We start from the raw sequence: 26558 nt of genomic DNA, 5'->3' as shown, positions 1-26558 counted from the left end.
CGGCCTGGGCGACAGAGCAAGACTCCGTCTCAAAAAAAAAAAAAACACCTGGCCTCCCAAAAGCTCTGATGGAGATGTGGAGATGTACAAGGAGACTAATGTCTTCATGCCTGCTAACACAGCATCAATCTGCAGCCCATGGATCAAAGGGTAATTTTGACTTTCAAGTCTTATTATTTAAGAAATGTTTTCATAAGGCTATAGCTGCTATAGATAGTGATTACTGTGATGGATCTGGGCAAAGCAAATTCGAAGCCTTCTGGAAAGGATTCACCCATCTAGATGTCATTAAGAACACTTGTGATTCATGGAAAGAGGTTAAAGTATCAACATTAACTGGAGTTTTGAAGTTGATTCCAAAACTCATGGATGACTTTGAGGGATTCAAGGCTTCAGCGAAGGAAGTAATGGCAGATATGGTGAAAATAGTGGGAGAACTGGAATTCGAAGTGGAGCCCGAAGATGCGACTGAATTGCTTCAATGTCATGATCAAACTTTAGCAGTTGAGGAGCTGCTTCTTACGAATGAGCACAGAAAGTGGTCTCTTGAGAGGGAATCTACTCCTGGCAAAGATGCTGTGACTATTATTGAAACAACCACAAAAGACTTAGAATATTGCATAAACTTATTTGATAAAGCAGTAGCAGGGTTTGAGGGGATTGATTCCAATTTTGAAAGAGGTTCTCTGGGTAAAATGTTATCAAACAGTATTGCATGCTTCAGAGAAATCTTTCATGAAAGAGAGAGTCAATCGATGCAGCAAACTTCACTGTTGTCTCATTTTAAGAAATTTCCACAGCCAGCCCAGCCTTCAGCAACCACCCTCATGATCAATCAACAGCCATCAACATAGAAGCAAGACCCTTCACCAGCAAAAAGATTACAACTTGCTGAAGGCTCAGATGATCGTTAGCATTTTTTATCAAAAAAGTATTTTTAATTACTGTATGTACATTTTTTAAACATATGTTATTGCACACTTAATAGACTACATTATAGTGCAAACATAATTTCTATATGCACTTGGAAAGCAGAAAATTCATATGACTCACTTTATTGGGACATTTGTTTTATTGTGGTGGTCTGGAACTGAACCTGCAATATCTCCAAGGAATGCCTGTAGATGGAAGGCAGAATGTGTCAACATAGACGACTGTAAGAAGGAAAATGTGGTGTGGGGAGTCTGGCCATCTTCCTCTGAGTGCTTCCACTTTCCACGTCAAGCAGGAAGCCACGTCATTAAGCTGAAAGTCAGGTGAAATAGTCATCTAGGAGGAATGGGAAAGTGAGTAAAACAGGGCTTCATGGGTGGTTGTGCCTGACCTCACTAAAGGCCCACTTGAATCTCCTCATGAATTTAAGAGGTGATTAGGAGAGGAGGCAGGAGAAGATGGGTGAATGGAAGCCTCCACTGATCATCCTCCCTGCAGAAACACCAAATTACTCTGGATAGAAACAACTGTCCACACAAAAAAGCACCTTCATAAAAACCAAAAGTCACAGGAGCGATCACACTACCTCTTTTTAATTTCACGTCACTGAAGGAGGCACTGAAGAGGGTAGGAAAGACAGTTTTGAATTGCTGACACCATCCCTCCCCTATTACCTGGCAGTGGGCATGTGGCATGGAGAGAGAATCCATGCACTTGGGGGAGGGAGAGTGCAGTGACTACAGGACTTTGCATTGGAACACAGTGCTGCCCTGTCACAGTGGAAAGCAAAACTGGGCAGAACTCAGCCTGTGTCCACAGAGGGAGCAGTTAGACCAGCCCTAGCCAGAGGGGAATCACCTATCCCAGTGGTGAGAACCCGAGTTCCAACAAGCCTTGCCACCATGGGCTAAAGTGTTCTGGGGTTCTGAATCAACCTGAAAGGCAGTCTGGGTCACCAGAACTGCAAATCCTGGGCAAGTCCAGGGCTCACAGTCAGTGGACTTGGGAAGCATGCAACCTAGGGAGACACCAGCTGGGGCAGCCAAGGGAGCGCTTGTGCCACCCCTCCCTACCCCAACTCCAGGCAGCTCAGCTCAAACCTCTGGGAGAGATTCCTTTTTATTTATTTTTTTCTTGAGGTGAGGAGAGGGGAGAGTAAAGAGGACTTTGTCTTGCAACTTGGATATCAGCTCAGCCACAGTAGGATGGGGCACCCAACAGAGTCCTGAGGCCCCCATTCCAGGCCCTGGCTTCTGGGCAAAATTTCTAGATATACCCTGGGCCAGAAGGGAACCCACTGCCTTGAAGGGAAGAACCCAGTCCTGGCAGGATTCATCACCTGCTGACTAGAGAGAGAGAGCCCTTGAGCCCTGAATAATCAACAGCAGCCCCCAGACAGTACTCACTGTGGGCCCTGGGTGAGACTCAGAAACATCCTGGCTTCAGATATGACTCAGCACATTTCCAGCTGTGATGTCTATGGAAGAGACTCCTGCTTGAAAAAGGAGAGTGAAGAGTAATGGAGACATTGTCTTGCACCTCAGGTACCACCAGCTCAGCCACAGTGGGATGGAGCACCAAGTAGGATCTCAGGGTCCCCAGTTCCAGAAGTTGGCTCTCAGACAGCATTTCTGGACTGCCCTGGGCCAGCAAGGAGCCCACTGTCCTGAAGGAAGAGTCCCAGGCCTGACAGCATTCACCACAAGCTGACTAAAGAGCCCTTAGCCTTGAGTGAACATTGGCAGTAGCCAGGCAATATTCACCACAGGCCTGGGATGGCGGTGGACACAGGGAGAGTCCTTTGTGTGCAGAAAGGGGAGGGCAGGAGTGGGAAAGACTTTGTCTTTTGGTTTAGGTGCCAGCTCAGCCATGGTAGAACAGAGTACTGAGTAGATTCCTAAGGTTTCTGACTCCAGGCCCTGGCTCCTGAATGACATCTCTGGACCTGCCTGAGACTGAGGTGATCTTGCCACCCTAAAGGGAAGGACAGAAGCCTAAGCTTGCTTTTGCAGCTGCTGATTGTAGAGCCCTAGGGCCTTGAGTGAATATTGGTGGTAGCTGGGCAGTGGTTACACCAGTCCTAGGTGAGACCAAGCACTGTGGTGGCCTCAGGTCTGACCCAGCACACTCCCACTGGTGGTGGCCACAGAGGTGCCTGTGTCACCTTTCCCAGCTTCAGGCAGCTCAGCACAGAGAGAGACTTTGTCTGGTGGAAGTTAGGGAAAAGAACAAGAGTCTCCGCCTGGTAATCCAGAGAATTATTCTGGATCTTATCCAAGACCACAAAGGCAGTACCTCTATGAGTCTGCAAGAACCACAACGTTATTAGGCTTGGGGTGCCCCCTAATGCAGATATGGCTACATGACCAAAAGCTTAGATCATAACACCCAAGTGCCTTCAAATCTCTGGAAAGCCTTCCCAAGAACAATGAGTACAAACAAATGCGGGTTGTCAGGACTACAATAAATGCCAAGCTCTTGAATGCCCAGACATTGACAAACATCCACAAACATCAAGACCTTCCAGGAAAACGTGATCTCACTAAACGAACTTAATAAGGTTATCAGTGATCAATCATGGAGAAACAGATTATGTGATCTTTCAGACAGAGAATTCAAAATAGCTGTTTTGAGGAAACTCAATGGAACTCAAGATAACACAGCAGAGGAATTCAGAATTCCATCGGATAAACCTAACAAAGAGACTGAAATAATTACAAAGAATCAAGCAGAAATTCTGGAGTTGAAAATTGCAATTGACATCCGAAGGATGCCTGAGTCTCTTAACAGTAGACTTGATCAAATGGAAGAAACAATTAGGTGAACTTGAAGACAGGCTATTTGAAAATACACAGTCAGAGAAGACAAAAGAAAGCAGAGTAAGAAAGAATGCAGCATGCCTGAAAGATTTAGAAAATAACCTCCAAAGGCAAATCTAGGAGTTAGTGGTCTTAAAGAGGAGGTGGAAAAAGAGATAGGGGTAGAAAGTTTTGTTCAACAGGGTAATAACAGAAAATTTTGCAAATGTACAGAAATATATCAACATTCAAGTACAAGAAGGCTATAGAACATCAAGCAGATTTAACCCAAAGAAGACTACATCAAGACATTTAATTAGCAAGCACTCAAAAGTCAAGGGTAAAGAAAGTATCCTAAAGCAGCAGGAGAAAATAAATAACATTTAATACAGCTCTAATACATTTGGCAGCCGACTTTCTAGTGGAAATCATACAAGCCAGGAGAGAGTGGCATGACATATTTAAAGTGCTGAAGGAAAAATCTTATATCCTAGAATAATATATCCAGTGAAAATATTCTTCAAGCATGAAAGAGAAAGAAAGACTTTCCCAGACAGATAAAAGCTGAGGGATTTCATCAACACCAGACCTGTCCTGTGAGAAATGCCAAAGGGAGTTCTTCAGTCTGAAAGAAAAGGATGTTAATGAGCAATAAGAAATCATCTGAAGGTACAAAACTCACTGCTATTAGTAAATACACAGAAAAACACAGAATATTGTAACAGTGTAATTGTGGTGTGTAAACTACTCATATCTTAAATATAAAGACTACAAGATTAACCAATCAAAATAAATTGCTACAAACAGTTTTCAAGAAATAGACGTTACATACAGTAAGTGTAACTAGAACAAAAAAAAAGTTAAAAAGAGAGAGGATGAAGTTAAAGTGTAGCATTTTTATTACTTTTTGATTGTTTGCTTGTTTGTTTATGCAGTGTTGTTATTAGCTTAAAATAGTTGGTTCTAAGATAGTATTTGCAAGCCTCATGGTAACCTCAAATCAAAAAACATATGACAGATACACACAAAAAAAATGAAAATCAAGAAATTAAATCACACCACCAGACAAAGTCACCTTCACTAAAAAAAAGAAATGAAGGAAGGAAAGAAGGAAAAGAAGACCACAAGACAACCAGAAAAATAACAAAGTGGCAGGAGTATATTCTTACTTATCAATAATAACATTGGTACATGGTGACATTAGTAAATGGACTAAACTCTAATCAAAACGCAAAGAGTGGCTGAATGGATGAAAAACACAATACCCAATGCCCTACTGTCTACAAGGAAAACACTTCATCTATAAAGAACACATAGACTGAAAATAAAGGGATGGAAAAAGATATTCCATGCAAGTAGAAACCAAAAAAGAGCAGAAGTAGCTATACTTATATCAGACAAAATAGACTTTAAGACAAAAACTGTAAGAAGACACAAAGGATATCATATAACAATAAAGGGGTCAATCCATAAGAGTATATAACAATTTTAAATACATATGCACCCAACACTGGAACACCCAGCTATATAAAGCAAATATTATTAGAACTAAAGAGAGAGAGAGGCCCCAATACAATCATAGCTGGAGACTTCAACACCTGTCTTTTAGCATTAGATCTTCCAGACAAAATCAACAAAGAAACATTGGACTTAATCTACACTATAGACCAAATGAACCTAGTAGACATTTACCCAACATTTTATCCAACAGCTGCAGAATACACATCCTTCTCCTCAGCGCAAAGATCATTCTCAAGGATACACCACATATAAGGTCACAAAACAAGTCTTAAAACATTAAAAAAATTGAAATGATATCAAGCATCTTCTCTGACCACAATGACATAATGCTACAAATCAATAACAAGAGAAACTTTGGAAACTATACAAACACATGGAAATTAAACAATATGCTCCAGAATGGCCAGTGTGTCAATGAAGAAATTAAGAAGGAAATTGAAAAATGTCTTGAAGCAAATCATAATGGCAATATAACGTACCAAAACCTATGGGATATAGCAAAAACAGTACTAAGAGGGAAAATTTATAGCTGTAAGTGCCTACATCAGGAAAGAAGAAAAACTTCGAATAAACAACCTAATGGTGCATCTTAAAAACTAGAAAAGCAAGGGCAAATAGAACTCAAAATTAGTAGAATAAAAGAAATAATAAAGATCAGAGCAGAAATAAATGAAGTTGAAATAAATAGAACAATAAAAAAGATAAACAAAATTAAAAGTTGTTTTTTGAAGAGATAAACAAAATTGACAAACTTTTAGCCAGATGAAGAAAAAAAGAGAAGACCCAAATAAATAAAACCAGAGATGAAAAATGAGACATTACAACTGACACTTCAGAAATTCAAGTGATCATTAGAGGCTACTGTGAGCAACTATATGCCAATAAGTGGGAAAACCTAGAAACAGATACATTGCTGGACACATACAATCTACTAAGATTGTACCATGAAGAAATTCAAAACTTGAACAGACTAATAACAAATAACAAGATAGGAGCCATAATAAAAAGTCTCCCAGCAAAGAAAAGCCCTGGACCTGATGGTTTCACTGCAGAATATTAACAAACATTTAAATAATTCATACCAATACTACTCAGACTATTCTGAAAAAAGAGGAGGAAAGAATACTTTCAAACTCATTCTATAAGGCCACTTTTACCCTGATACCAAAACCAGATAAAAACACATCAGAAAAATAAACCTACAGACCAATATTCCCATGAAAATTGATGCAAAACCCTTAGCAAAATATTAGCAAATCAAATTCAACAACACATTAACAAGATAATTCATCATAATCAAGGATGATTTATCCCAGGGATGCAAGGATGGTTTAACATATGCAAATCAATCAGTGTGATACATCATATCAACAGAATGAAGAATAAAAACCACGTGATCATTTCAACTGATGCTGAAAAAACTTTGCCAAAATCTGGCAAAGATCTGGCAAAGATTGATTCACACTGGCAATCAATGTGATACATCATATCAACAGAATGAAGAATAAAAACCATGTGATCATTTCAACTGATGCTGAAAAAACAGTTTATAAAATTAAACATCCCTTCATGATAAATACCCTCAAAAATTGGATGTAGAAGAACATAACTCAACACACAATGCAAGCCATATACGACAAATGCACAGCTAGCTTCACACTGAATGGAGAAAAGCTGGAGGCCTTTCCTTTCTGATCTGCAACATGACAAGGATGCCCATTCTCACCACTGTTATTCCACATAGTACTAGAAGTCCTAATTAGAGCAATCAGACAAGAGAAAGAAAGAAAGGGAAACCAAATTGGAAAGGAAGAAGCCAAATTATCCTTGTTTGCAGATATTATTATATTTGGGAAAACCTAACGAGTCCACCAAAAAACTATTAGAACTGAGAAACCAATGCAGTAAAGTTGCAGGATACAAAAGTAACATACAAAAATGAGTACCTTTTCTATATGCCAACAGTGAACAATCCAAAAAAGAAATCAAGAAAGTAATCACATTTACAATAGCTACAAATGAAATTAAATACCTAGGAATTAATGTAATAAAATAAGTGAGATATTTCTATAATTGATGCAAGAAATTGAAGAGGACACACAAAAAGTGTAAAGATATTCCATTTTTACAGTTTGGAAGAATCAATATTGTTAAAATGTCCATACTAACCAAAGTAATCTATAGATTTAATGCCATCCCTATCAAAATACCAATGACATTTCTCAGAGAAATAGAAAAAACAATCCTAAAATTTATATGGAACCACAAAAGACCCAAAATAGCCAAATAGCCAGTTATCCTGAGCAAAAGGAGCAAAACTGGAAGAATTACTTCACTTGATTTCAAATTATTGCAGAGTTATAGTAACCAAGGCAGCATGGTACTGGCATAAAAACAGACACATAGACCAATTAAACAGAATAGAGAACCTGGAAACAAACCCATACATTTACAATGACCTCGTTTTGGACAAAGGTGCCAAGAACATACATTGGTGAAAGGATAATCTCTTCAATAAACATGTGGGAAAACTGAATATCCATCTGAAGAAGAACAATACTAGACCCCATCTTGCCATATAAAAAATCAAACTAAAATGGATTAAAGACTTAAATTTAATACCCAAACTATGAAATTACTACAATAAAACATTGGGGAAACTCTCCAGGACATTGGAGTTGGGGCACAGATTTCTTGAGTAAAACTCCACAAGCACAGGCAAACAAAGCAGAAATGGACAAAGGGGATCACATCAAGTTAAAAAGCTTCTGCACAGACAAGGAAAGAATCAAGAAACTGAAGAGATAATCCATAGAATGGGAGAAAATATTTGCAAACTATCCATCTGACAAGGGATTAGTAACCAGAATATACAAGGAGCTCAAACAACTCTATACAAAAAAAATCTAACAATCCAGTTCAAAAATGGGCAAAATATCCAAATAGATATTTCTCAAAAGAAGACATACAAGTGATAAACAGGTGTATGAAAAGGGGGTCAACATCGCTGACCATCAGAGAACTGCAAATCAAAACTATAATGAGATATTATCTTACTCCAGTTAAAATGGCTTATATCCAAAAGACAGGCAATAACAAATTCTGGCAAAGATGTGGAGAAAAGGAACCCTCATACATTGTTAGTGAGAATGTAAATTAGTACAACCATTATGGAGAACAGTTTGGAGGTTCTTCACTAGACTATAAATAGAACCTTTATATAATCCAGCAATCCCACTGCTAGGTATATACCCCAAAGAAATCAGTATATAAAAGAGATATCTGCACTTCCATGTTTATTGCAGCATTGTTCACAATAGCCAAGATTTGCAAGCAACCTGTTTCCATCAACAGATTAATAGATAAAGAAAACATGGTACATATGTGCAATGGTGTACTATTCAGCCATAAAAAAAGAATGAGATCCTGTCATTTGCAACAACATAAATGGAACTAGAGGTCATTATGTTAAGTGAAATAAACCAGGCACAGAAAGACAAATAAGTTCTCACTTATTTATGAGAGCTAAAAATTAAAACAACTGAAGTCATGGAAACAGAGAGTAGAATGATTGTTACCAGAGGCTGGAAAGGGTAGTGATGAGGGCGTGGGAAGTGGAGCTAGTTAATGGGTACAAAAATATAATTAGATAGAATGAATAAGATCTAGCATTTGATAATACAACAGGGTGACTACAGTCAACAATAATTTATTGTATATTTTGAAATAACCAAAGGAGGATTGTATCATTTGTAATACAAAGAAAAGATGATGTTTGAGTTGATGGATACCCTATTTACCTTGATGTGCTTATTATGCATTGTATGCCTATATCAAAATATCTTATGCACCCCATAAAGATATACACCTATTACGTACCCATAAAAATAGTTTCTTTAAAAAAGAAGCAATTAGTCAACATGTTTTCTCTGCTACATTCAGTTGGTAGAGAGCTGGATTTCAGGGTAGCTGATTTGCCAAGCAATTATGACAAAGTGTGAGTGCCAAGAGTTTTGAGGGCACTGGCCAAAGAAAGCAGTAGTGACTGTTCAAGGAATGGGAGTTGGAGAAGGAGGGGATGGAGGTCAGCAAGGAGGCGAAGGAGGAGGAAAGATGCAGTGGCTGAGACTGGTGGAGGAGAAGTGTTTAAGGAACCAGGAGGCCATGGGGTGACCAAGGATAGAATAGGAGTGGTCATGGGAAAGCAGCGCTGACCTAGGAAGTCAAACTTGCTAGACATGTTGAGTGTGAGTTGACAGTTTCATGAAGGTCAATGGGTGATACAATTTGATGACATGGGATTCAAAACTGAGAGGCTTTAGGGAGGAGAGAAGGAAATGAGGGATTTTGTGAATACAATGAAACAGAGCAAATGTGTGAGAGAGTGTCTGGGACCCAAGGCAGGTGTCTTTTAGCTGGTGAACCTGGGCTGAGACCTGAAGGACAGGAAGATGCCAGCCATGTGCAGACTTCGGGTAGAACATTCCAGACAGAGAGAGTGCACAGTCTCCAGAGAGGGATGTGTTGGCATGTGTGGGGAACGTAAGGATGGACAGATGGCGTGCTGGATGGGTAATGGACAAGGAGGCTCCTGACAGCAGATGCAGTTAGGGTGGGGGCAGGAGAGAGATCATGCCTGTCGGCCTCAGGAAGGAGTGTGGGGGCTTGATTCAAATTAAAAAGGGAATCCAGTACAGGGTTCTAAGTGAAGGAGTGATGTAATCTGGCTTTTTTTTTTTTTTTTTTTGAGACGGAGTCTCGCTCTGTGGCCCAGGCTGGAGTACTGTGGCACGATCTCAGCTCACTGCAACCTCTGCCTCCTGGATTCAAGCAATTCTCCTGTCTCAGCTTCCCAAGTATCTGGGACTACAGGTGTGCGCCACCATGCCAGCCAGTTTTTGTAGTTTTAGTACAGACAGGGTTTCACCATGTTGGCCAGGCTCAAACTCCTGACCTCAAGTGATCCACCACCCTCGGCCTCCCAACGTGCTGAGAGTACAGGCGTGAGACACCACGCCCCACCTGATCTGGTTTTGAATGGGTGACCCTGGCTGTCACATAGGAAACAGACTGTGGTTACGGGTCAGGAGGCCTGCTGAGGATCAAGACCCAGTGAGGCAGTGCTTGCTGGGTGCCAGCCTTACTTTGATGAAGCCCTTCAATGACCCTAGGAGATCAGGAATATTATTTTCCCTGTTTTACTGATGAGAAAACTGAGCCACATAGATTTGACTCAGTGAGTAAGTGGCAGAGCCAGGATCCAACAGTTGGCAATGTGGGTCCAGCTTCGAGGCTCACTGTGTGAACAAGAGATCTGGACAGCTCAGACAAGTCAGGAAGTAGGAGAGCTGGCAAGGAGCAGGTGGGGTCAGGATATGGTTTGCATATGAGCACCGACGTAGAGAGAGAAATGAAGGATGCATCCTAGATTTGGGGCCTGGATGATGCGTGGGATTGCGGGGGAGGGCATGCCATTTGCCAAGATGGGAAGAACGATGAAAGGAACAAATTTGGAGGAGGAAATGATAGGCTTTATGTTAAATCACAGGTGTCTTCCAGAAATGTCAGTGGATCCATTGGGTAGGCAGTCAGATGCACTCCCTGAAGCTCTGGAGAGGCCATGGCTGGAGAGATGGATTTGGGCTCCATCCATGTGTAGGTGTTGTTTAGACTCATGAAAGAAGAGTGCATGGATGGGAGAGAAGAGAGCATAGGATGGAGCCCAAGGCATGCCAGCATCAGTGATCAATGAGGAAGTGAGGAGCAGCCAGGGCGGTGGAGGAAACCAAGAGAGGATTCTGTGAGCTCCTGGCTATGACAGGTTCATAACTGAGTCACACCTCCCTCCCTCTCTGTATGCTTTAACCTCTGCCACAGTCATGTAGTTCAGAGGCTGGCCATTAGTCTGAGTCAGTCCTCCACTGTATGGGGTTGCCCAGGAATGGAAACTCAGGCCTGCACAGAGAAAGACACATCAACCACCACAGTGCACTGTTTGGCCCACATTCGGAACACCTCCCTTACCTTGTATTCAGTTGACAGATGTGTACTGGGGACAAAAGCTGAAGGGTAGATACTGATCCGTGATCATTGCCTTATAAGGGGTTATGAGACTCATCCAACCCAGGTGACCTCTGGGATCCTTTGGGGTACTCAGAACTGCCCCAGGCAGGAATGCATGTAGAAAATCCTGCTTCACCACCATTCTGTATTGATCACTCTGCCTGCTACCTTCTTCCAGCATTTTTGTTTTGTTTCCCTGTAAAGGGCCTGAAGTCTGTTTTAGTCTCAATCCTTAGCCAGCTTCAAATTGTTAAAAATATTTTAGACCCCTCTTTCCTACATGTTTTGGCTTCACATAGAAACTGATTTTGAATGTAAAGTAAGCATTTGTAAACATTTATTTCACATCTTTCTGCATTAAAAATATGAAACACCTACAGATTCAGGATTATCTAGGTTTGTTGGAGGTTTTCACTGGCAAAATTTAAATATTCCATTATATTGCTTTTCTGCATGGATGATGATTTACTTTTAAAAATGCATTACAAGATCTTTGGCTTTGTGCTGTATTCCTGCATACAATTTAATTATTTTATTTGGAGATAATGAAGAATAAATCTGGAAGGCCAAGTAGCATCCTGGCTGTGAATAACTCAGCCCAGTATGATCACAGAGCACCAGACAAAGAGAAATGCAATTCAGATAAAATGTTAATAAAGTGAAATGAAAACCTATTTCTCATTGCCTTAGGCCACCTATATGCACATTTGACACATTGATGCTTTTGTCTTCGGGTAATCTAGTCTATGTCCTTGTGGGACATGAAAACACAGTTTTAATAATATGCTCTAAAGTTATTCCAGGGGCACTGATGTGAGAACTTGCTATAGAATGAGGTACTGGGTCGTTTATTCTTGCATTAGGTCTTCCATTATTTTCATCTCTGTGTGTCTTGCCTGTGTTTCTGCCACCAGTATGAAGCATGTCTTTAGGACTTTCTGTGCCATCTGGTATCCATCAAGGGGAGAGTCCCAAACTGCACTGGAAGGCATCTTCCAGATGGTGGTGGGCGCTAAAGATCAGCTGTGTGGGTGTGAGCTTCCCATGCCTGTGGAGAAGCAGCAATTGAATTGCTCATCTGGAATGAAGTTTCGTGGATTTTTTTTTTTTTTGAACAGATCACTGACTACTTCCAATGTATGTATACAGATTTGACCAGCATTTATTCATACCTAATTTGTGCTAGAGTTGTACTTGGCACTTAAAATATATTATTTGGATTAAATTATTTCACTGAATCCCATCCCAACCCAGGGGGCATATGTTATTATCTGAGGTTCAGGAATAAGCAATTAATTTGTCTCTCTTAAGACAAGAATAAGTGATAGTAAAAGTTCAATGTTGTTCTAAGCCTCACAATGAGTACTTGATTTTTTTAATTTAAATAACAATATTTGTACTATTTTTATTATTATAGAAGAGCCATCTGCTCAGTGTAGAGAAATTTTAATGTTGTTTTGTTTCTGCCTCCTAGAGACAACCACTACTAACTCATTTATTGAATTCCAGGGTTTTTCTAGATGTGTGTGTTTGTGTGTGTGTATATATGTGTGATTTTAACGTAACTGGGTTCATACTATAAATACATTTTATATCCTAAATTTGTGCTCTACTTTTTATCACTTGATGTTGTATTGTGAGCATATTTTCGTGTTTTTGTTTCACAGTTTATGTAAGTAGTCTCATTGGCTGTGTGATGATTTATTTAACTCTTCCCTTGCTAGTGGTGGTTCAAGTGGTTTGTAGTTTCCTCATTTGGTTTTAAACAGGTGCCATAAATAATTTTATACATAAACCTTGGTCAAAATCTCAGGCTCTTTCTTTAGACATGGCTTCTAGAACTGAAATTGCTGTATCCTGTGCCATGTTCTCTTGTTTGATATATCTAGAGAAATTGTTTTCCATCCAAAATGCTTCTCTGCTATAGGACAGAGTGTGAATGAGCTGATGTTTTCCTGTCTTTAAGGGTGACAATGTTTACATATATGCTTCTATGTGTAAGGGACCTACTTGTTAGTGAACACATTCTAATTCTTCTCAGATTTGTCATTTTCTGGTAGAAATTCCTCCTAGATCCGAGCTGTAAGCTGACTGACTGTGAGTCTTAGTTTGCTGAAAATGTGAATTTCAGTTTTATAGCTGGTTTCTATAGGTATTTAATAAGATGTTGGGAACAGCTCGAAAATGCTAGCCAGAAATTATTTTAATACTGAAAGCCTCAATACTCCCAGGGTAATTCAATCTTAAAAGTGCTAACATTTAAAAGTGCTCTTAGAAGTTTTTATAGAACTGAGTGTTACAGATGTGTCGGACACCATCCGAAGCTACATAGGGTGGTAGAAAAGTAAGTGCCATATTGATACACTTTTTGAAAATTTCAGATGAAGAAGTGATATAACCTTTCCCAGAATTAGGGAAAAACAATTGTGAATTTTTCCTTTTATTTTTTAAAACACAAGTTTGTCTCCTATAAATTTCAAATAGTCTGTCTTTCTGTAGTCTGACTGTTAAACACACAACCTTTTAATTTATTTTTGAATAGCAAGCCCATTGAAATCTAGGAAGGATAAAAGCATAGGAGGTCATTTCAATTTTCACTTCAATCTTTTGTGTCTTCTCCTTTATCCTCCCTAAGTTGGGAAGTAATTAGATTCTTGCATTATTTTCCTTTCTGAATTTCTACAAACATTAACTTTTATTTTCCATATTGTTTTACTAGCTAAACGATGCTCTGTTGGATTGGTTAGGAGCACACAGCAATTCATTTGAAAATGGCCTGTTTTACGTTTATTTCCCACTTCTTTGTTCCTGGCAGAGTCTAAGGCCCCATCCCGGGGTTTTGATGTCTCTAATTCTTGGTTGGATGCTGGGTTGCGGCACTTGGCTCTACCCTCTCATTCCTTTGTTCTTCCGATTCTCGCTTTTGCATTTCTTCCTACAGTGCCCCACGGCAGAGCAGGTTTTCAGATGTTGCTGCACATCTGGTTCATTTGTAGACAATAACTTCCTGTGGTATGTTTCCTTGTTCCCATTCATGGAGTCACAGAACAAATTCTAGCATTGCTGTTTTCTCTCATACATAATTTTTCTTTTCTTTTTTTTTTGAGATGGAGTCTCGCTCTGTCACCCAAGCTGGAGTGCAGTGGGTGCAATCTCGGCTCACTGCAACCCCTGCCTCCCAGGTTCAAGCAATTCTCCTGCCTCAGCCTCCTGAGTAGCTGGGACTACAGGCGCGCACCACTATGCCCAGCTAATTTTTGTATTTTTGGGAGAGATGGAGTTTTACCATATTGACCAGGATGGTCTCGATCTCTTGACCTTGTGATCCACCCGCCTCGGCCTCCCAAAGTGTTGGGATTACAGGCGTGAGCCACCGTGCCTGGCCATACATAATATTTCTAACAGCTTCCCCTTTTTTTGCAACTTTCTTGATTCTACTTCTTCAGTTTAATTAAAAATCCTTCAAAACTAATTCTCCGAAGGTTAAGCGTAAACAAAGTTTCAATATAGATGTTATTTTAGGAAAAGCAAAAAGTTAATTTATGCTTGTCCTTTCAGTAATTATCTTCTGTTTTTGCAATTTTGTATATATTTCTTTCTCTGAATGGGCTTCTTGGAGTCTTATATATGTTATCTTGGTGTGTGTTTGTAGAAAAGAATCCTATGGGGAAATGGCAATGAGACATGGTTTTTCCTTTCTTTTTGATAGGAATTTTCCAAAGAGAATTCTTTCTGTTTCCAATTTAGGCAAATCTCATCCCAGTGGAATAATTTCCTAAGTAAGTTTAGAGGCAGGGAACTCTTACAAATTGCAGATTGCTCTCCATTGCCACAAGGCTATTTCTGAAAGAGATCTTCTTCTCAAGTGGTGTGAACTTTGCCACTCTTTCCTTTTTGAATTCTAGCTAGCAGGTGTCAAGCCTAGATTTCTGAGCAGCTTTTGTGCTATCTTTTAAACACCAGGACTCAAGGGAAAAGATTCAGATCATTGCAGATTTTCACACAGAAACCCATTTTGGAAAAGTGAAAGTTCCGAAGACAATTTACCGGGTCTATATTGTGACACGCAATACTTGAACACTTCTCCATGTAGCAACCCACGTGGCATCTTTGTTGTGGTTGGAAAAGACACATTACCAGTGATACATTTTCGTGTGGAATGCTGTGAAGCTTAATCCTTTTTACCCCCTTTGAACTTGGTGATATGAACCACGTTTAGTAATTTTAATAATCCGAGACTGGGGTCCCTTGACTCTCACCAAAAATATAAAAGGTACAATATCCTGTTTTGTGCCTTTATTTGCAGAAATTCCTTTGAGCAGGTATTTTGCTACATAGGGGTCTTTTATTTTAGGGGCGGTTGTATGTGGAGGTGGAAGAGTGAAAAGCTTACAGGATAGGCTAATGACCTACCCTTAGCGGCTTCCATCTCCTAGGTAAAAACAGAAAGACTTTAGACAGCATATTCTTTTATTATTACCAGTGTGAGGCTGGAAAAAAGGTTTCCATGTTCTTGTAATAAAGAGGAGGTGTTTTTTTGGTGAGCCCTTTTGTCTTGTTGAGGGCTCTGAAGTGACAAGGAAGTGATGGTGGGTGGTGCAAGGCTCGTGGGGACGCCATGACCCAGCCTAAAGGCAGTCAGCTCAGCTTCCACTGCTGCATCTCTCCTGAGGAGTCCTGGGGTTTGGGAATTTTGCCAGACTTCAAAGGTTTGGAAAACTTGTCAGTGGAGCTACACAGAAAGCCAAGAAAAGTGAGCTTCAGAAATGAACACTGTCTGGAACCAGGCTAAGATGTGGTCTGAGCATTTTTACCAGGTTTTATTGTCATGATTACGGAGCTGTGCAGTAACAGAGTCATAATTACTCTTGCAACCCTTGCATTTGATGCACTCACACATCGGCAGAGAGCAGACGCAGAGGATCATAGCCTGCTGGATAACTGAGCAAAGGCATTCAAAGCCTAGATAAAAACATTTCAAGGTGGGGCAGGTGTAGTTTAGAGAAAATGACAAATGGAACACATAAGTAAGAAAAAGTTATCAAAATATTTTTGCAAAAGACTAATGCAATTTCTTCTATCCTTCTGGAGTTTTCAAGTGGAGTAAAGATTTAAGTCTTTTATTTTATTATTTGTGTAAAGCAACCATAAATCTCCATTTTCTATCATCTAACTGTACTTTTTTTTTTTTTTCTGGGACTTGAAGTATAACCATCAAGACCTTCCTCTAGTTAGGCTATTTGACCTTTAATTCTTGTCTAGCTTCCCTCCTGTTCAGCTCCAAGGAAAATAAAAAATGAGAAAGATAAAGTAATAAAAAGAAAAAATATGTTTTGCTATTCCTTGCAGAGGCTTATTAATTCTCAGAGGAAGATGTATTTTCTCCTCAGTTGGGTCACAACCTTCTCAGAGTGGCAAGGCCCATTTATTTGGGTGAACATTTTTCCACAATGAAAGAGCAACCATTTATAAGATAAAAGCAATAATCTTTTGTGTATTAACCTTATATCCTATGACCTTGTTATTCTCTTATTAGCTCCAAGAGTTATTTTGTGGATTCTTAGGGGGTTTTCTGCATAGATAATCATATCATTTGTGAATGAAGACAGTTTTCTCCCATCCAAGTACTAACCAGGCCCAACCCTGCTTAGCTTCGGAGATCGACGAGCTCGGGTGCGTTCAGGCTGGTATGGCGGTGGACGAAGAGGGTTTTCTTTCTTTCCAATCTGTATAACCCTTGCTTGTCATATTGCACTACTTAGGATTTCTAGAATGTTTTGTAGAAATAGTGTTGTGTAGAAATAGTGAGAGACAATATCTTACTTTTTTCCTGATCTTAAGAGGAAAGCATTCCGTTTCTCACAAGTAAGTATGATGTTAGCTACTGACATCTTGGTATGGCTTTAAATCAAGTTGAGAAGCTTCCTTTATCCTTTTTGTGTACTGAGGATTTTCATCATGACTGGGTGTTAGATCCTGTCAAATGGTTTTTCTACATCCATTGATATGATTATATGATTTTTCTTATTTAGCCTGTTGACATGGTGGACCACAATGATTGATGTCTGAATGTTGAAACAGCCTTGCATACCTGTAATATTTCCCACTTAGTTGTATACAATTCTTCTTACACTTGGTTGTATTTTATTTGCTAATATTCTGTTGAGGGTTTTTAAGTCTGTGTACATGACAAATGTTCGTCTACAGATTTCCTGTCTTATAATGTCTTTGCATGGTTTTGATATTAGGGCAATGCTGGCCTCATATTAAGTTGGGAAATGTTCCCTCTACTTCTATCTTCTTGGAAGGCATTGTAAAAATTGGTATTAGTTCTTCTTTAAATGTTTGGTAGAATTCACCAGTAATTCCAGCTGAGCCAGGTCCTTTCTGTTTTGTAAGGTTATTACTTGTTGATTTAATTTCTTTAATAACACAGGCTTATTCAAATTACTTCTCATATGAATTTTGATTATTTGTGTTTTTCAAGGAATTGGTCTGTCTTACCAAGTTATCAGATTTGTGGGTAAAACATTATTGCTGGTATTTTTAATTAGCCTTTTACTAACCATAGGACTGGTAGTTATGACCCCTCTTTAAGTTCTGATATTGATAATTTGTGTCTTGTCTCTCATTTTGTTGGTTAGTGTAGTGAAAGATTTACCAAGTTTATTTATATTTTCAAAGAACCAGCTTTTGGTTTTATTTGTTTTCTCTAAACCACTTCTAAGAAAGAAGAAAGGGAAAAGCAAGAGGAATGGGTAAAAGAATCTACACATTGGTTCACAGCTGTTCACTGGTGAACTAAGCAGATACTCAAAATCTTATAGTTGGTATAATGAACCATGTACCATAATAAACCACCACTTTAAAAATAGTGACAACCTGACAACCTGGTTCCTTTTCAAACATCATTTTAGACAACTTGTAATGTAGATCACCTTTACTTGAAGGCACTGAGTAGTGTACCACTTACCAGAAAAACTCGATAACTATTTTTCAGTCATAACTGGTTTTTGTTCAGGGGAAAAACATCCATATACTAATGATTTTCAAACTTTAGTTTGTATAAGAATAATATGGATATTATTTAAAATGCAGATTCCTGGATTCCACCCAAATTCTGTTTGGTGTATCTGGGAAGGGGGCCAGAAACTTTTTAACTGTACAAGCACCCTGGGTATAATGCACTGATCTGTTGATCTTTCATTGACAACATTGCCATCGACTTTGGAGCTGGAAAGGCCCTCAAAGAGTGTGCATCCTGACCTTTACATTTTATGAATGAGATGCTGGATTTCCAGAGTGTTGAGTGCAAAGTTGGTCAGTGTCAGTGGGAGAGACTGAGCCCATGGTTTCAGCCTCCTGGTACAATGATGGTTGTCCAGTTTGATCATTCAACCAATTTAGCCAACTAAATTTTGAATATATTTTGACAATTATAAAAATCAAATTTTAAATAATAAATGTTTGTAATTACCTTAGATGTTACAAAGAGCATGTGACAGATACGATGTTTTGTGAACCAGATTAAATAATGGAGTCACCACCATCTGCTTTGACTTCTACAGTTCCAATAGCTATGACTTAAGGAAGCTGTGCAAAATTATATGGTTCACCATTCCAGCTGCATGTTCTGGGCATAAATGCTTAAATATCAGCGTTTTTTCATGAATTCATGAGGAAAGTAAAACTGTTCACCCCTGTTTATTTTATATTTGTATGACAGTCATAATTTTACCATTTGAAAATTATTCTATATTAGTTTAGAAGCCCCAGGGAGACGACAGGATTTACTTGACAACTGTTATGGGACAAGTGCACCTCATGGGCTGCCGAAGCCTGGGGGAGTCTTTTCTTGGCTCTCAGTCTAAGTTCCAAGTGGCTGTAGAAGTTTAACCTTGATTTTCTCTTTATTTTCTTCCTTTTCCCTGATTTTGTGTTTTGTTTTTGTTTCTTGCTCACACGGATACTAATTTATTCCTCCTTGGAGGCAGCAAGGATTGGAAATATGGTTCTATTATCTTCAATTTGTTGATCTCTATAGGTGGACAATAATGGTCTCTTCTCTGTTGGGTGAGAGACACAGTTCTTTGTTGGGTTCTTTTAGATTTTGTTTGTCTATTTTGAGCTCCAACCAATTAAAAATTTCTGGGAAGGAGAACAGCTCTTTGAAATCTGGACCACGGAGTTCGTATGTGTCTATGTTTATTTTGACCTGGGGCAGTTGCTGTAGAACTGAAGCTGTAAATTCTGTATATGTTTTCATGTTTGTGTGTTTGTGTATACGTAACTGACAAAGGCCGTAATCCCTCATTGGACTGGTATGATTTCTTCCCTATTTCCAGGAGATATTAATAAATTAGGTTGTTATGGTTCTTCAGTTAAAAGAGCTTTGTTCTAATTACTTATAGAGATGAATACATACCTAAGTAAATCAAATATTCTTAGAGTTTCTTTAAAGTAGTAAAATCAAATTTCTAATACTTTAAAAGTGCTAGACTTTTAAAAATGTGCTATACTTTAAAAATTATTTTTACACAAACTGCTACGTTGAAAACTTTTAAGAATCTAGGTTCACATAATTAATATATATATTTGGCAAATGGGAACAATTTATTTAATAATCATGGTTTCAAAATTATTGATATTAACTGTATATACATGTTATTTTACTTGGGTTGTTTTTCTCATGAAAAAAATAGCCTAAACTTTCTAAAATTATATAGGTTTTGAGATAAAATAAGCTAATAATACTCCTACAGAGTTTTAAAGATTATGAGAAAAGTAATTTGTGTTCAACTAAATTGAATCATTTTTCTAACAAACTTTTCTATCAGTGGTAATTATGTTTTTCAGCGTGCTAGTTTAAATGTAATTTCCAAGGTCTTTAGGTAATTTAAAGTCTTGAACTAATATTAATTTAAGCTAATTAATGGGTAATTCTTAGATATCTAGACATTGTGTAAGTAATGCAGAATACTGAAATCTTGATGTCTAAGCATGATTTTAAGTTTTATAATTCTACATGCTGAAGAGTCTATATCATGTTAATAAATGTCATTTTTGCCACTTTAAGAAGATGTAAAAGGGGTGGCTGTGACTGTCCAAAGCTGTGTTAAATGTGTTCATGAGCCGTGCTATTCTGCTAAAATGCTGCAGAATGACACTTCTCAATCATATACCCTCTATTTTTCTCTGTGAAATAGGAAATATTCACCTTGATGAGAAACTGTAATCAGTATCTGTGGTTGAGACTATACTAGAGGTCATGACAGAGAAAGGCAGGTGGGCATATGCCTTTGTTTTGTAAGAAAAAGGAGAGTAGTTTTATCCTAATATAAAAGTCAATTTGTTCCACACTATGAAAGAGCTCAGTAAAATATGAGACCTGGAAAATGAATTTTATTTGCCTTGGTTTTTAATAACTAAATCTGAAAAGAAGGCATAAAGTAAATTAAAATCTTAAATGTTGGTTCATTTTTGATGGGTTTATTTCCTTGGTTTGATGATTAATGCCTTCGTTTACAGAATGAAAGATTATTCTTTAACTTCTCTGAAATCTGTCTGGGGAGCAGAGAACCTGTGCCTACCAGAACCATTTTCTGTGCTTTATGTGTGTGCTTTATTTTGACTTTATTATGTCCTTGATTGTTGAAGAAAAATCCAGAGAACAAACTTTTCTCACATGTGAAAGAACTAAGGTTCTTTATGAGCATATTATCTTTTATGTTTATTTCAAAATATTTTCTTGTCACATTGATTAAACAGATCACCATGCAGTTGTTTCTCAGGTGCTTATGATCTAATCAAAATCAAGTGCCCCAAATCTCCTGACAACCCTTTCGACTTTGCCTTGCAAAGATCAGCTCCTATATTTAGAAAAAATAAAATAAAAATGTCATGATATCTTTTACACCGAAAAATACCTTTGAAATTTCCCAAAGGCCCCCAACCACTCACAAAGATTTACTTTCTTACTGTATGAAAAGACAAACATAAAAAAAATTTTGTTTTATGTGCTATGTATTTCTTAAATTAGCCCAACAGTATTGCAAGAGCCCCATGGGAAAAGCTGTCAAATTAGAAGAGATGCTTAACCTCCTCTTGAGTTTGTAGAGGTACAATGTTATGAATATGAACATGAGTATTTCAGAAAGTATATTTCTTATAAGAAGATTCTGGGGATTTGCCTTACTCTTGGGAGACATTGATCAAACCCTTATGAAATAATTATTCTCTATACTCTAATGGGAATTGTATCCTCCTGCATTCTGATATTAATTACAGTAATAAATTGACCACAACCATAAGTCTTTGTCATCTCCAGATAATTTTTGTTTTACTCTGATGCTTCCCTGAAGGCTCTCGCGTAAGGTACAGGCCAGCAATTTAGGCTTTACTCTTAGATCTCATGGAAAGGATTATAGCAGGCACTTTGAACTACTTTATGCTCCCTCGTGTAGACTCTTGGGGTACAAACTTCCAAACTGATGTCATTTAGATGCTGCCAAACTGTCAGAGGCATTTGAACCAGAGCAACTCCATTTTAAATTGGGGCTGGGTAGAATAAAGCTGAGATCTACTGGTCTGCATTCCCAGATGGTTAGGCATTCTAAGTCACAGGCTGAGGTAGGAGAACAAAATACAGGTCATAAAGACATTGCTGATAAAGCAACTTGCAGTAAAGAAGCTGGCTAAAACCCACCAAAACCAAGATGGCTATGAGAGTCACCTCTGACTGTCCTCACTGCTACACTCCCACCAGTGCCATGACAGTGTACACATGCCATAGCAATGTCAGAAAGTTACCTTATGTGGTCTAAAATCAGGAGAAACCCTCAGTTCTGGGAAATTGCCCATGCCTTTCTGGAAAACTCATGAATAATTCACCCCTTGTTTAGCATGTAATCAAGAAATAACTATAAAAACGGACAACCAGCAGTCTGCGGGGCTGCTCTGTCAATGGAATAGCCATTCTTTATTCCTTTACTTTCTGTTTTTCTTTTTTTTTTTTTTTTTTGGAGATGGAGTCTCACTCTGTCGCCCAGGCTGGAATGCCATGGCACGATCTTGGCTCACTGCAAGCTCCACCTCCTGGAATCAAGCAATTCTCCCGCCTCAGCCTCCCGAGTAGCTGGGATTACAGGCGCACGCTACCACGCCTGGCTAATTTTTTGTATTTTAGTAGAGACAGGTTTCACCATGTTGCCCAGGCTGGTCCCAAACTCCTGAGCTCAGGCAATCCACCTGCCTCAGCCTCCCAAAGTGCTGGGATTACAGGCGTGAGCCACCATGCCTGGCCTATTTCTTTCTTTACTTTCTTAATAAAGTTGCTTTCACTTTACTGTATGAACTCGCCCTAAATTCTTTCTTTTGCAGTATCCAAGTACTACTCTCTCGGAGTCTGGATCGGGACTCTTTTCTGGTAACAAAGCTATATCCCCAGTCTGAGGCAGGATCTCTAGGACTCTTCTTAGGCTGAAAGTTTTGAGGGTATACCGAATTGGGCTAATGAACCGTAAATTATGGAATTAACCCATCTGACTAATCCCTTGTCTTATCAAAAATTTTTAAAACCTGAAATGGAAATTAGAGGAAGACTATCTATGTTAGACAAGATTTTATAAATGATATCTTTACCTCCAGCTTTGTTCTTTTGGCTTAGGATTGACTTGGCAATGCGGGCTCTTTTTTGGTTCCATATGAACTTTAAAGTAGTTTTTTCCAATTCTGTGAAGAAAGTCATTGGTAGCTTGATGGGGATGGCATTGAATCTATAAATTACCTTGGGCAGTATGGCCATTTTCACGATGTTAATTCTTCCTACCCATGAGCGTGGAATGTTCTTCCATTTGTTTGTATCCTCTTTTATTTCATTGAGCAGTGGTTTGTAGCTCTCCTTGAAGAGGTCCTTCACATCCCTCCTAAGTTGGATTCCAAGGTATTTTATTCTCTTTGAAGCAACTGTGAATGGGAGTTCACTCGTGATTTGGCTCTCTGTTATTGATGTATAAGAATGCTTGTGATTTTTGCACATTGATTTTGTATCCTGAGACTTTGCTGAAGTTGCCTATCAGCTTAAGGAGACTTTGGGCTAAGACGATGGGGTTTTCTAGGTATACAATCATGTCGTCTGCAAACAGGGACAATTTGACTTCCTCTTTTCCTAATTGAATATTTCCTTCTCCTGCCTGATTGCCCTGGCCAGAACTTCCAAGACTATGTTGAATAGGAGTGGTGAGAGAGGGCATCCCTGTCTTGTGCCAGTTTTCAAAGGGAATGCTTCCAGTTTTTGCCCATTCAGTATGATATTGGCTGTGGGTTTGTCATAGATAGCTCTTATTATTTTGAGATACGTCCCATCAATACCTAATTTATTGAGAGTTTTTAGCATGAAGGGTTGTTGAATTTTGTCAAAGGCCTTTTCTGCATCTATTGAGATAATCATATGGTTTTTGTTTTTGGTTCTGTTTATATGCTGGATTACGTTTATTGATTTGCATATATTGAACCAGCCTTGCATCCCAGGGATGAAGCCCACTTGATCATGGTGGATAAGCTTTTTGATGTGCTGCTGGATTTGGTTTGCCAGTATTTTATTGAGGATTTTCACACTGATGTTCATCATGCTACCTGACTTCAAACTATACTACAAGGCTACAGTGACCAAAACAGCATGGTACTGGTACCAAAACAGATATATAGACCAATGGAACAGAACAGAGCCCTCAGAAATAATGCCGCATATCTACAACCATCTGATCTTTGACAAACATGACAAAAACAAGAAATGGAGAAACGATTCCCTATTTAATAAATGGTGCTGGGAAAACTGGCTAGCCATATGTAGAAAGCTGAAACTGGATCCCTTCCTTACACCTTATACAAAAATTAATTCAAGATGGATTGAAGACTTAAATGTTAGACCTGAAACCATAAAAACCCTAGAAGAAAACCTAGGCAATACCATTCAGGACATAGGCATGGGCAAGGACTTCATGTCTAAAACACCAAAAGCAATGGCAACAAAAGCCAAAATTGACAAATGGGATCTAATTAAACTAAAGAGCTTCTGCACAGCAAAAGAAACCACCATCAGAGTGAACAGGCAACCTACAGAATGGGAGAAAATTTTTGCAATCTACTCATCTGACAAAGGGCTAATATCCAGAATCTACAATGAACTCAAAAATTTACAAGAAAAAAACAAACAACCCCATCAAAAAGTGGGCAAAGGATATGAACAGATGCTTCTCAAAAGAAGACATTTATGCAGCCAAAAGACACATGAAAAAATGCTTATCATCACTGGCCATCAGAGAAATGCAAATCAAAACCACAATGAGATACCATCTCAAACCAGTTAGAATGGTGATCATTAAAATGTCAGGAAACAACCGGTGCTGGAGAGGATGTGGAGAAATAGGAACAATTTTACACTGTTGGTGGGACTATAAACTAGTTCAACCATTGTGGAAGTCAGTGTGGCGATTCTTCAGGGATCTAGAACTAGAAATACCATTTGACCCAGCCATCCCATTACTGGGTATATACCCAAAGGATTATAAATCATGCTGCTATAAAGACACATGCACACGTATGTTTATTGCGGCACTATTCACAATAGCAAAGACTTGGAACCAAGCCAAATGTCCAACAGTGATAGACTGGATTAAGAAAATGTGGCACATATACACTATGGAATACTATGCAGCCATGAAAAAGGATGAGTTCATGTCCTTTGTAGGGACATGGATGAAGCTGGAAACCATCAGTCTCAGCAAACTATCACAAGGAGAAAAAACTAAACACCGCATGTTCTCACTCATAGGTGGGAATTGAGCAATGAGAACACGTGGCCACAGAAAGGGGAACATCACACACCGGGGCCTATTGTGGGGTGGGGGGAAGGGGAGGGATAGCATTAGGAGATATACCTAATGTTAAATGACGAGTTAATGGGTGCAGCACACTAACATGGCACATGTACACATATGTAACAAACCTGCATGTTGTGCACATGTACCCTAAAACTTAAAGTATAAAAAAAATGATATATTTGCTAAGAATTCGTAAGTGGGAGTTCTTCATTCATGCATAAAAACAATGTGAGGGGCCTCAGGCTAGACGGCCAGATAGCACCAATATTTAAGTAATTGTTGGAGAAAGAGGGATATCAGACATTTAGGTGTTAGGAAAGCCAGAGTGGAAAGAAGAGCATGTAAAGAAGAAACAAGTTTTCAGTAGAGCTACATGGACCCTGGAGTACAGAGGACTCAGTTATTTTCTGCCATTGCCAAAAGCTAACATTGGCTGACAAGACAGTGAATACCAGGACATATACTCACAAGTTCTTATAAGAATCTGCACATTCAACCTCTCCTGAATCCTGGAGTTGAATTCAGCCTCACCCTAAATACACTTTGAAAATGCCAGAATGGGTAGTGTATCTAACTTAACACAAAACTTTATTTTAAAGATTTCTGATCTCTGATGTATGCCTGTGGGTATCGATCATGCTTTTGAGTCATTTTAATCTTTTCCTTCTCCTTTGTTTCCACGGGAAACCATCAACTACAGTCTAATGACATCCTAAGCCTTCCCAGATTGCTTTCTATGTTCAAATGAAAGTTGATAGTTACTTATCTGTATTGTGCTACCAAGTATTTAATGCACAATTAGTCAAGGACCCAATTAGAATGCAAGTTAAACTGAACCTATGGTTAATTAAAGCAACAGGACAATAAAGCTGAGAGCAGGTGGTTTAGGTACCTTAGGACATTGAGTTAGAAAATTTGGTCCATTAAGAGTTGCTAATAACCATTTTAAAGTTTGTTCTTTGGAGAAGATTTTGTGCATAACAATTACTGGTTATTTAAATAGGTATTTCAGGATCTTGTTTCAAAGTTGAATAGTCATGTAATCTCATTTGGAGGAAACTCTTGTATACCTCTTACTTTATATAGAGTCACTGAGAGTAAAACAAATATGAAATGTAAAGCAAGTGTGGGAATCCTTATTTTGGGGTAAATAATAAAAAGAAAACAGAAGGAATCATTTATAACAGATGTTTCTCTGACCTTTTACAGATGACATTTTCAAAAATTAGGAAAAATAAATACAGATTCAGATTTACATACCTCTATTGAGCATTACCTGTCTGCTGTCTCTATACTGGGAAAGTTTTAGTTTCATGAGAATATATTATATGGTCTTTTCATCAGACCAATATATTGACCAGAA

The 26558-nt window shown here is 38.7% G+C and overlaps 1 protein-coding gene, 2 long non-coding RNA genes and 1 pseudogene across 3 annotated transcripts in view, besides 2 other annotated features; 2 read left to right on the top strand and 2 right to left on the bottom strand.

Moving 5' to 3' along the window:
• Positions 1–26558, top strand: part of TAS2R1 (taste 2 receptor member 1) — a 276530-nt gene that overhangs the window by 125954 nt on the left and 124018 nt on the right. The window lies entirely within an intron of this gene.
• The window catches only part of LINC02112 (long intergenic non-protein coding RNA 2112), a 262510-nt gene that overhangs the window by 125902 nt on the left and 110050 nt on the right, over positions 1–26558 (top strand). Inside the window, exon 5 of the long non-coding RNA NR_027112.2 lies at positions 12230–12452. This is a non-coding gene — a long non-coding RNA (long intergenic non-protein coding RNA 2112). The remainder of the gene's footprint in view (positions 1–12229; positions 12453–26558) is intronic.
• LOC105374649 (uncharacterized) lies at positions 1097–26558 on the bottom strand. Its single transcript, XR_925776.2, has 3 exons — positions 26456–26558; positions 2340–2425; positions 1097–1269 (listed from the first exon to the last, which is right to left on the bottom strand). It is a non-coding gene; the product is annotated as an uncharacterized LOC105374649 (long non-coding RNA).
• Positions 1353–2552: an enhancer, noted in NCBI's record as "MED14-independent group 3 enhancer chr5:9775483-9776682 (GRCh37/hg19 assembly coordinates)". NCBI's record gives its function as "activates an origin of replication core promoter dependent on BRD2, BRD4, P300/CBP and CDK7 cofactors, and independent of MED14, by STARR-seq in HCT116 cells {active_cell/tissue: HCT116}" and the evidence as "EXISTENCE:reporter gene assay evidence [ECO:0000049][PMID:35650434]".
• Positions 2695–3287: an enhancer, noted in NCBI's record as "H3K27ac hESC enhancer chr5:9774748-9775340 (GRCh37/hg19 assembly coordinates)". NCBI's record gives its function as "activates a minimal SCP1, AML or CMV promoter by ChIP-STARR-seq in naive H9 embryonic stem cells {active_cell/tissue: H9 hESC(naive)}" and the evidence as "EXISTENCE:reporter gene assay evidence [ECO:0000049][PMID:30033119]".
• On the bottom strand, positions 16910–17016 carry RNA5SP177 (RNA, 5S ribosomal pseudogene 177; annotated as a pseudogene).

The sequence above is a fragment of the Homo sapiens genome, chromosome 5 (genome assembly GCF_000001405.40).
Source record: "Homo sapiens chromosome 5, GRCh38.p14 Primary Assembly".
Lineage (NCBI taxonomy): Eukaryota > Metazoa > Chordata > Mammalia > Primates > Hominidae > Homo > Homo sapiens.
The sequence above is the reverse complement of the archived record's forward strand: the minus strand, read 5'-3'. Positions and strand labels throughout refer to the sequence as shown.